This window comes from Homo sapiens, chromosome 4, assembly GCF_000001405.40.
Source record: "Homo sapiens chromosome 4, GRCh38.p14 Primary Assembly".
Taxonomy (NCBI): Eukaryota; Metazoa; Chordata; class Mammalia; order Primates; family Hominidae; genus Homo; species Homo sapiens.
In genome coordinates, this window is record NC_000004.12 from 143,381,065 (window position 1) to 143,393,098 (window position 12,034).

General features: G+C 39.5%; 1 protein-coding gene across 14 annotated transcripts in view; it reads left to right on the forward strand.

Annotated features, from left to right (window-relative positions):
• The window catches only part of GAB1 (GRB2 associated binding protein 1), a 137,690-nt gene that overhangs the window by 44,189 nt on the left and 81,467 nt on the right, over positions 1 to 12,034 (forward strand). The window contains exon 2 of one of the 14 annotated variants that reach the window (XM_047449969.1): positions 10,380 to 10,568. The exons of 8 other annotated variants lie outside the window; for them this stretch is intronic. The gene's annotated coding sequence lies outside the window, so the exon portion shown is untranslated. Of the gene's footprint in view, positions 1 to 898; positions 10,942 to 12,034 lie in introns of those variants that run through there. 5 more of the 14 variants (XM_017007966.2, XM_017007968.2, XM_047449971.1 and 2 more) reach the window with 5 other exon arrangements.

The window sequence follows — 12,034 nt, forward strand, 5'->3', positions numbered from 1 at the left end:
TCAACCTGTGACTGAGGAGGCAGGACACTTTCTGTAGTGGGAGGAACATGGGCCACATACAAACAGATTTAGTTCAAATGCCAGTGCTACCTCTCCCTTGCATTAAGCAAGTTACTGAAACCTTCAGAATCTAGTTTTCATCTGTAATATAGGAATAATGATGATAATGCTTATATCACCAGGGAATTTGTCTTTCTGAAAGGGCTAGCACACAGTAGGTATTCAATGCAAGTTAGCTTTTGCCCTTGCCTTCAAATCCAGGGAACACATGGCAGCAACAAGACTGTAGCCCTGGGAGTTGCTATGTCTGCAGCCTCTTTAAGGTGTTAGGCAGACAGGATGTAAGCACTAGAAAGATTCAGTATGGTATCACCGGCTGTAGTGGTTCAGCCCTTGGCCTCTGTAGCCCAAGAGCCAGTGTTCGGGTCTACTAACTCTGTGCTCTTGAAATGTCTCCTACTTTTAAGTCAGTTTCCTTATCTGTAAACTGAGACTAATGGCATTTACCTAATTGGGTCGTTGGAGATCAAGTACCTTAATTGATATAAAGTGCTTAGAACAGTCCCTGGGAGGTGGTATTTTGCTCCAGTCTGTTATAGGGAGGATCATTTTGTTGTTAGAGTTCAGTGAAGACCGTTTTTTAAAATCGTGTGGAATGACTATAGGCATTATAAAGACAACTGAAGAAGCTCTTGTTTCTGAACAGTACTTGGCCAGTTTCTTTAACAGGAGATGGCTTTGCTTTTAGAAGCCTGCCCCAGAGTCTTCCATCTCTTCCACTCTCCCTGCACGTCCGCTCTGTATGGCTTTTGTTATTAATGTGGAGCAGTTGAAGTCACTGACTTGGGTGCAGGCCAGGCCAGCATTACTGAGGTCATATATTACTTTCCTAGACTCTAGTCATGAACAGGATGTTGGAAGTCAGAGGTACAGAGAAGCTGCCTTTTTAGGCCGCTCACATGAAAGGTGTGTTTGCTTTCCTCAATCATTTTTATACTAATAGATTGGAATCTTATTCAGTATCTTGGTAGCATTTTTTTCTTTTACTCTACAACCTTTATGCCGCCAGGCTGTCATTTGGCTTATTCTTTGGTTAGACAGACTAATGCTGTTTTGTTATGCACTTTCTTCATTGTTATTTCATTGTTGAAACATCTCTTCCTCGGTTAACTAAATATTTATTTAAGGCAGGTAGAATTTCTCAGTGAAGCTGTATATTTGTTTAGGTATTATAGATATATTCTAAAACATTTAGGGATTATTCAGTCTATATATTTTTTTCTCTTGGAAATGAAATAATACTGTGGAGAAAGTATTCATTGAAATAACAAGTGAAAGTGTGTTTCCCTCAGGAATAGTGTAAAAAGAACTTGCTTTTATTTTCTGCTTTGCTTTTGTATTTGGGACTTGGGGAAACTATGCTTTTGTTATTTTGGAAAAGCAATGGAATTTTATCAGACATTTTCCTGAAACTCCCTACTTTCTCTTTTTCCTGAAATACTACCTTCAAAGTCCTGTTTTGCTCTGTTAGGAGGTTCCATCATTCAAAAAGTGAAAGAGCTTGGTTAGTTGAGGTTATTTTGTTGATCTGTTGGCTTTAAAGAAAGAAGAGACTGTCAGAGAAAGTCTGAGAAACAACACTTGGAGGATCATATGACCAATAGTGTGAAACTGAGGACGCTGATTTGTTAGCTTGAGCAGTTAAGACTTTTTTTTTTTCAATGTCTGCAAGTAAATACGTGGCCTCAGACCCTGTTATGCTTTATGATGGGTGAGAGTGCAGAGAAAGTAACGTTCTCCAGGTTTAAACTTTATTCTGACTCTGTTCCCTAATCGTGAGGATTTTTATGTTTTTTGTAACTGTTGTTGTGAAGTAGAAACTGATTTCTAGTTGACTTTGGCTATTACTAAATTGTGACATGCATGCACTTCTTTTTAATTTAACAGTTGTTTTCTGCTGTTTTCTCAGTTTGAAAGTAGTAATTATGAATAAGAATTCCTAGAAATATTCTTCTTCCATAATGATATGTCACAGATGTTTGAGTGCTACACACACACTCCTCTCCATTTTTAAGTCAATTTAGTGGAGATAAAATGTAGATAATAGCTGTGTGTTGTAATGACTCTGGCCCACTCCCCAGAGGCTCTGTATTTCCATAAGTTATGGGACCCCTCTGATCTTTCTGAAATGGCCACCATCAGATCATTGAGACTTGACATGCAGTTTAAAATGTGTGTTTCTGAGATTTCTATATATGATTTGGACACAGAATAACTTGTGCTGTTTCCAAAACCACATTCTTTGTCCTCTTATAGAACCCAATGAAAGGAGGAAGCTGTGCCTTAAATGTCATGTTCTTTATGCTTAGTTCCTTTAAAAATGTATACTTTTATCATTTGTTATAGTAGAAGATTTTGAAAATTCTGAGAAGTGTAAGAAAAGAAAAATTACTTGTAACTCTACTACTCAGAGAAAAACTGCTGTTAAAATATTGAGGTATTTACTTCCAGACTGATTTTTCTATACATATTTATATAGCTATATATAGTTATTCTTTTGTAAGAGTGACTATAAACTGTTTTGAAACTGGCTTTTTTAACATAACAATATATGTGAGCACATTTTCCACATCCCCAAATATTTTTGAAAAATATTTCTTTTAAATATCTGCATAGTTTTGTACCCATTATAATTTGGCTCTGGAAGAAGTTCAAGATATGCCAAATAGTCTTGGCACAATGGCTCACACCTGTAATTCTGACACTTTTGGGGGCCGAGGTAGGAGGATCACTTGAGGCCAGGAGTTCGAGACCAGCTTGGTCAACCTAGCAAGAGCTATTTCCACAAAAAAGTGAAAAAACTACCCGGGCGTGGTAACACTCCCATAGTCCTAGCTACTTAGGAGGCTGAGGTCAAAGGATTGCTTGAGCCCAGGAGTTTGAGGCTGCAGTGAGCTATGGTCGCACCACTGCACTCCAGCCTGGGTGACAGAGCAAGACCTTGTCTCTAAAAAGAAAAAAAAAAGATATGTGAAATTAAAAAGTCCACTTTGGTGATAAGGTCTTCCTTCTAAATTATAGAAATAATTGGCTTAAAAGGGAAATTGAGAACATGCTAACTTTGTGCTTTATTCAAGATAGACTTGTTTATTCTTTGCTGCATTTCTATAACAAAACATTTCAGCTGTATAATCCTTGGTATAGCAATGACTAGTTATAATAATTAATTTTTAATTAGCTGTTCATGAAGTTTTCAAAACATCAACTTTTATCGCATTAAAAAAGTGAAATAATTTTGAAACATTTCTTTCCTTTAAATTTGAAGTAAGGTTAAAGTTTTTTGCAACCAAATTTGGGGTTCATCTACCATGGTAAGTTGGTGCTATTGGCTGTGCTATAATTTCAGGGTGAACTTGACTTTCCTTGAGTTTCCAGGCTGTACAGGACAGGAAAGGCTGTGGCCGTCAGGGAAATGGAGCCAGATGGTCCTCATGATCGATGCCAAGCTCCCAACAGAGACAAATGCTACACCCGACAGACTAGGGGCAACAGCACATGTTAGGGTGATTGCTCACCCTTTCCTGGAGAGGGGAGAGCTCTTCCCTTCTGCTGGTGTATTTTGCAGCTAGTTTTTGCAGGCTCTGTTCAGTCTGGTGTAGCAAGTGTCCAGGCAGTTAACTTCTAATGGGCAGTGAAGGAGGAGGTGATGGCAGTAGCTGGGGCCGAGTTGGCAGCTAGTAGGGCTGTCTGATGAAATCCACATTTTGGCATCCTTGAAGTCTTTCAAAGGAATCTGACTAAGTCACTTAACCTTGTGTCATTTTGGTTTACTTGGCTTTTAAAGGGTAGTGGTAATTAAACCAATGGGAGCCATTAGTTAGTAGATCTTAGTGGCAGTTTTCAGTTTAAAAATGGAAACCTACAGTCACAGAGCCATTGACTCGTAATAACACAGTGGCTTGTCCTTGACCCAAGGGAGTTGATTTGGGGAAATGAACATATCTGAGAGTCCTGTGTCCTGAGTTTATATATCAGCATAGCTACTTAGGAGCAGTATCACTTTGGGCATATTTCTTAACCTCTCTGAATCTCCTCTGTAAAAATAATCATAATTCTTCAAAACATAAGTGAGAGCTTATATTTTATATAAGTATGTGGCACAGTTATTAGTTCCTCACTAGATATTAATTAGTTCCTATGAAAATGATAGATTAGTGCCAAGTCATCTGACCTCCCTGTGTAGGCTTATTATTGATCACTGGGGGTCTGTAGCCCTGGAACAGTGTTTTCTTTTCTGAATTAATTACAGCCTCATGTACTGAGCTAAACTCGAATATGCAAATCTTTATGAAAAGATGCCCAAAATACAGTGACTTAAACAAGTTAAGAGGTTGTTGGTGCTTTCCTCCTCTCAGAAGAGCTCAAGGGATCCATACTGATTCAGGACTAGCATGGTACTTCAATAGAAAAATTCCTTCCTCTCGTTTCTCTGCCATCTTGAGAGAGTTGCCCTCATCTTCACAGTCAAAGATGGCTCACCATGATCTCATTTCAGCCCAAGGGAAAGGAGATGATCTACAAGTTGTACAGATCATTTTCATTTACATCCTATTGGCCAGAACATGACCACAGCAAGCTTCAAGGGAGGCTGGGAAATAAAATGTTAGCCAGCAGACACCCTGCTAGAGCTTCTGTTACTATAGAACAAGATCAGCAAACAGTGGTCTGAGTGCCAAGTCAGCCAGCCAGAAATTATTTACAAATTAAGTATAGTTTGTAAATAAAAGTGTATTGGCCGGTTATGGTAGCTCATGCCTGTAACCCCAGCTCTTGGGGAGGTCAAGGCAGGAGGATAGCTTGAGCCCAGGAGTTCAAGACAAGCCGGAGCAACATGGTGAAACCCTGTTTATACAAAAATTTAAAAAAAACTAACCAGGCGTGGCTGTGCGCACCTGTCGTCCCAGCTATTTGGGAGACTGAGATGGGAGGATCAGTTTAGCCCAGGAGGTCAAGACTGCAGTGAGCCATGATCACGCCACTGCACTCCAGCCTGGGCAACAGAGTGATAAATAAATAAAAATTAAAGTGTATTGGAACACAGATGTGCCCATTTGTTTATAAATTACCTGCTTTCACATGGCAGTGGAAGAGTTGAGTATCCAAAATGCATGGGACCAGAAGTATTTCCGATTTCAGATTTTTTTGGGATTTTGGAATATTTGTGAATACGTAATGAGATACCTTGGAGAAGAGAGTAAAGTCTAATATGAAATTTATGTTTCATGTACACCATATGCATAGCCTGAAGGCAATTTTATATAAATAATATTTTTTATTTTTAAGACAGAGTCCTATTCTGTCACCCAGGCTGGAGTGGCAGTGGTGTGATCATGGTTCACTGTAGCTTTGACCTCTTGGGCACAAGTGATTCTCCCACTTCAGCCTCCCCAGTAGCTGGGACTAAAGGCATGCACTACCATGCCCAACTAATTTTTTGATTTTTTATAGGGATGAAGTCTTGCTACATTGCCCAGGCTAGTTTCAAACTTCTGGGCTCAAGCAATCCATCTACCTCACCTTCCCAAAATGCTAGGTTTACAGGCATGAGCCACTGCGCCTGGCCCAATTTTATACAATATTTTAAATAATTTTGTATATGAAACAAATTTTGATTGTGTTTTGACTGCAACCTGTCAAATGAGGTCAGGTATGTGAATTCTCATTTGTAGTGTTGTGTCAGTGCCCAGAAAGTGTCAGATTTTAGAAGATTTTGGATTTTCAGATTAGTAATACACAACATGTAGTTGCTGCAGAGATCATATGGCCTGCAAAACCTAAAGTATTTATTATCTTGCCCTTTACAGAAGATTTTTTTGTTGATGTCTACTGTAGACAATGGGGAAATGAACATGGGAGGAGCAACTGGTAGTCTCTGCCACAGTAAAGAGAATGATAAGAAGGGTGAATCACTGCCTTTGAAATGTAGAGTTAGAACTTTGTACTTAGGCATACTAGTGGCCCATGGGGCAGTGAGTTGGTATGCAGGTGATTGGTTTTTTGTTGTTGTTGTTTGTTTGTTTGTTTGAGACAGAGTTTCGCTCTTTTTGCCCAGACTGGAATGCAATGATGCTATCTTGGCTCATCACAACCTCTGCCTCCTGGGTTCAAGCAATTCTCCTGCCTCAGCCTCCCAAGTAGCTGGGATTACAGGCATGCGCCACCACGCCCGGCTAATTTTGTATTTTTAATAGAGACAGGATTTCTCCATGTTGGTCAGGCTGGTCTCAAACTCCCAACCTCAGGTGATCCACCTGCCTTGGACTCCCAAAGCACTGGGATAACAGGCGTGAGCCACCATGCCTGGCAAGTGATTGTTGAAGAAGCAATGTTCAGGGACAGATTTGAGGAGCCAGGCATGAAGTAGCCTGGTGGAGGTAAAGGGATGAAGGCACAGAAGGCTGCTTACTGACGTGAGCTTCCATCTTTAAAGTGGAGCATCCTAACTCCTGGACTTTTCCCTCTTCCTGCAGCTCACTGCTCTGTCTTGCATTCGATTCTTGCTTATCAGCAGTGCCACCCCTGTAGGTCAGACTCTTTCCTCCCATTGACTTCTTACGGGTCTCCCTGCCTGGACATTCACCCTCCTCCACAGTCACCTCCTCTAAGTGTGGCTCTTATATTAGTCCCATCTCAAGAACTTCCAAGGAGTCCCTGTTACCTACTCAGTAAAGCCAAGCCTCTAAGGTCCTCCCGCTCCTTGATCCTGATCTTGATCCTATCCTGTCTTCCTTCACAGTCTTACACACACCCTAGATTCCAGCCCAACAGAAACACCTTGTGCCTGCGCTGTACTTTGCCACCACCACGTATTTGCTGTTGTCTCCTTGCTTCTGTCCAAAGGGTTTGGGGATTTGGGACTATGGCTTAGCACATGGTAGAACATTCATGGCTGGGCAGAGGGGGTTTCTGACTTTGTTTTGGCATCTCTCTACATCTGTATTTCCCTCTCCAGCCCCTACCCCCTTCCCTTACAACCTAAGGATAAGCGCTCCCTTTTTGAATGCTCCCTTTTTTAATTATACCAAGTACTATATATAACTCCCAAGGCACTTACTGCTTTCTGTGTGGGATTATAGTTATTCCATGTATGTTTCTAATCTTCTTGCAGAGAAAGAATCTGAGGCCAAGTCCAGATCTGACTGATCAGTTTCATCTAGTAGGTGCCTAGTGGCTATTTTGTTGATCAGTGTTGCAATGATGGTGTCTACAAACAGTGCTACCTACAATTTAGTGTGTTTCACTAAAAATGTAACTTAACACCTGGAGGAATTTAAGTGCAAATGCAAATAGAGGTTTTTTTGTGTGTGCGAGACAGAGTCTCGCTCTGTCGCCCAGGCTGGAGAGCAGTAGAGCGATCTCGGCTCACTGCAACCTCCACCTCCCAGGTTCAAGGAATTCTCCTGCCTCAGCTTCCCGAGTAGCTGGCATTACAGACGTGCGTCAACACGCCCAGCTAATTTTTGTATTTTTGGTAGAGATGGGGCTTCACCATGTTGGCCAGGCTGGTCTCGAACTCCCGACCTCAGGTGATCCGCCCACCTCCACCTCCCAAAGTTCTGGGATTATAGGCATGAGTCACTGCGCCCGGCCTAGAGTTCTAATAATTGTGTTGAAAATAAATGCCACTTAAGATCTTAAAAACACCAATTTTTAGGTAGTTTTTAGCAGAAAAGAAAAAAAAATCTATTTAACTGTTTTCTTCAGACCTGAAGCAGTATTTAAATACATTCATATTTAGAAGTTTTAAACAGTTCCTTGAAAAGCCAAGGCTGAGCCAGAAATCAGGCAGAGCTTTTGCAAGGCATAAGGAGGAGCATGTGGGCAGAAACCCCTGTGAGTGCAAGAGGTGGGCCACCTGCAGGAAAACTGCCCAGTCCACTCTGCAGAGAAGGATTGGAGCATTTTCTACACCAGCCTGCCAGGGACACACCTGACTGCACAAAGATCCATCTAAAATCACTCACATTATACTCACAGAAGGTGGTATTTTCACAGCTTCATCTTTCCGCAGTTGGTAATCAAATGTAAGAAGAGCTTTTATTTTTATAGGAATGATTTAGCTTATGGAGTACCAATCTCATCCTTTTCCTTCCTCTGTCTTTTTAACCAAGCATAGAATGAGGAGACCAATGTATATAATCAAATACTTGCGTATGCTGGAAAAGAATTTATGTCATTCACTCATCTCCTTTTAATTAAAACCTAGTGAGATTGGTGGCAATGTTGGGAAGCAGATGGATGAGCATGAATTTCAAATGTGTATTTAGAAAAATTGAAAGGATTGGTAGGAAAGATATTAAGTAGGCAGTGTGGTCGGGAGTTGAACCTGTGAGTTCAACAGCAGGCGCTTGTAGCATAAAATATAGTAGTGCTTCCAGACCCCTCTGACCTAGGGATGTCTAAGAGATAAGGAGGGAAAGTGCAGGGGTCTCTTTTCTTGTGGTTTATGCATTTTGAAGTTATTAAAGCATAAGACAATTTGTTCTGGAATTTTTACTCAAGATAAAAACTATGACCATTGTGTGAACATTACTGCTTCACCTCCCTCTCCTAACTCTACTTTTGTTTACTATTCCATATCCAGTGTCTAGCAGTGTACTCATCAAACAGTAAGTGCTCAGTACATATTTGTTGAATGACTAAATAAGTGGATTCTGGCACTTAATTATAAGAGCTTTTTGGAAGATGAAAAGATTCTTAAGCAAAATGATTTTTTAAAGATGTAAAGACAAAAGAAGCTTATCTTCCAGTCCCCTTCCTCACTTGACTCTGCCAGCCCCCTTCAATACATGCCTCACTGGCACCTCTCCTGGATTTAGCTTTAAAAGTTTGGGAGGAGTGAAGGTGTGTGTCCTCATATTACTAAAAGAAGAACCCTAGTGTTGTGTAACAGTGTTTCACAGGCTCTTTCATAATAAACATAATATTAGACACAGCCAAAGTAAGTTCATTTTGAATTAATAATCCAGTATTTCATAGTGCTGGTTCGAGGTACAGATCTAGGCCTTGTGTGCAACAGAATAGAATTTTAGAAGTAGAGTAAAAAGTTTCATCCACTAAGCTGTTTCTCATTGGCCTGCAGTCTGATTTCTTTCAAAGTTTTGGAGTTTAACACAAATTTAGGTGTTCAGCTAATAATAAGATTAAGGGTGTTTGTGGGCAAACCAAATATAATTTATATCCCTTAATTTTGAGCTCATAATGTTTCTGCTCTGGGTTTATAAGAGATACCACCGAAGAAAAATCTCAATTAGAGTGAGATAATTTGTAAAGTAATAAGTAGGGTTTTTTTTGTTTTTTTTTTTTAGGAAGCACACTAGTGTAGTGGTTAGGTTTTTGACTTTGCATCATAGAGACCTGCAGTTGATTATTTTACCAACCTCACTACTCTTTTGTCTCAACCCTCCAAATCTTTGTTTTTTCACCTGGAAACTGGGAATAGTAACAGTACTTTCCTCAGAGACTCATTAATAAGATAATTCATGTAAAACACCCAGAACAGTGCTACATAATAGTGTTCATACCAGTTATGATTAAGCCTATGCTGCTGGGCCAAAGAGCCCCCAAAATACAGTGAATTAAAGGGCATACAACTTTTTTTATATTGCTCATATAAAAGGGTAAGCATTCCAGGCTTGCAAAGAATCATGTTCTTTGCAGAAATTCAGGCACCCAGATTTCTTCCATCTTGTTGCTCCATGCTTCCTACATCTCAGGGTTCATCTACATAGTCAAAGATAGGTCGCAGGTATGTCTGTGTCCCAGCTTGAGGGGACAGGAAGAAGTGTGGAGGCAGCATGCGCAATGTCTTCATGCTCAGTCCTAGAGAAGGCACACATCATTGCCATGTACTTTGCACTGGGGAGAATTAAGTCACATGGCCGCCCACATCTGGCTGCCAGAGAGGCTGAGTGGTATAATTTCTACCTGGATGACCATGTGCTCAGTTACAATTCATTCATTGTGGAAGAACAGAAGAACAGATTTGGGTGAGCAGGTAATGGTCTGCCCCACAGTGCTTAATAAATGCAACCATTATGTATTTATTTAAAAATAACATTTCAAGTAACAGTCTAAATGTCTTTGTTCTGGGGAAGAGGAATCAAAGAGCTTCTGTAACACAGAATTTGTGCTACATAGCACATATCTCCCATAAGTGTTATTTTTATTTTTTGGAAGGGAGTCTTTTAAGTATTGAACTTCAAATCAAGGTAAACCTTGAGGGAGAAAAGAAAGAGTGGACAAAAAGCAGTAGAAGGGATGGGAATGTATTAAAAGGAATGAATGCTAATTAGCTATATGCTCTTCCTTCCTCTCAGCCAGCCATCTGGGCAACAAGAAAGGCTTACTACAGTTAGATAAATTTAACCCCTTCTCTGACCTGGCAAGGACAAAGTACACTGGCTTCTGAAGAAACTTTTTCTTGGGAGCAAGGTAGTTATTTCAAAGCACAGAAAAAGGCGGCGGGGGGCACAGAGAAGCACAGAGAAGCGGGGGCAGTTGCACAGGTAAAACATTCATCTTGGCTTTTCTTTTTAAAAGATAAACTTTGTCCCACGTAAAGAGGAAAACTGCATAGATATTCATTGAGATTATCTGATTTGTCACTGTTGCCAAAGAAAAAACAAAGGTAAAATACACGAGTTTCTGCATTCAGAAGAAAGTATTTCAGGTAAAAATTAACTATTAAGCAACTTTTCTCAGCAGAAGAAATGCCCAAATTCTTAAGGACAGCCAAGTTGTGAGTTAGAGAGCTAGTGTTATAACAGATATTTTTAAATACATATATGAATTACCTCCTTACGTTACTTTATTCTTGTGTTTTTAGCAACTGTTGAAAACAATTATAAGAAATGAAATAATGTCCTGAGCTGCCACATGGTATGTTTTAAAATCTGCGATTTTATTCTTGACAAGTAACATACACTACATGCTTTTGTGTGCAAGTAATGCTCAGATGTTTGATAACGGAGTGATCTTAAAGAGGAGGCATCTGTTTTTGTTTTTATAAGTAGTTCATTGCCTAACTACCAAAAATAGCTGCAGTTATTTTAAACAGATGGTCCCAAGTTAATAGGGAAGAAAGTAGAAGTGAGTCTATTTCCCCAGTTTTTATTTTTACCCCACAAAAATGGTAAAAATAATTAACAGTATATAATTTGAACAAATTCTATCAGAATGCTTTCTTCTAAGTTATTCTTTCTGAGAGAGGGGATTTGTCAATTGAAGTATATGATGTGGTGGAGTTGAAAGCCAATATAAATTGCTTAAATTTCTACTTTCTGATAGCGTTCATCAAAATGATTGCTGCATTGTTGAAATAGAGCTTTTGATTTTTAAAAGACAATTAAATTGTGGTAAGATACATGAAACCTACCAAAACTTACTTCAAAAGTTTTGAAGTCTTAAGAGGGTGGTAAGTGGTGGTGGTGACATGTTAAGAGTAGGACCTTGCCAGATGACCAGAAAGAATATGGGTTGATGACATTAATATTTTTATGATTTCTGAATTCCTCAGGAGTCCTAAGTTAATAGTTAATAACCTACTCTTTAGTTTCTGACATTGAAGATAATGAATATTTTGATAATGCAACAACGAATTTGTATTTATAAGGGACTTTGAAGAAGAATGCATTTGTGTGGTATACAGATGCTGTTACTATACATCAGTTTCAGTAGATTACAATAGTACTTGGGCCCAACTACTATCGTATATAGCTATCCATCTGTAAAGAAGATGGATATCTGAGGTTTTTTACTTCTGAAATACTAGGCTGTTAAAGCTTACTGAGATTTTTACTTTCTATTAGTGATAGCAGTACCTTTTTCATGTCTATGGGCTATATTTCCATGTATATGTCCACAAAGTACCTGCAGTTCTTTGATTTTGATTTTTGCATTTTCTTTACTGTTTCATGTGGACTATGGGCTGTAAGCTGCTTACATTGAATCTTTCAGTTTTGCTTCTGTCTGA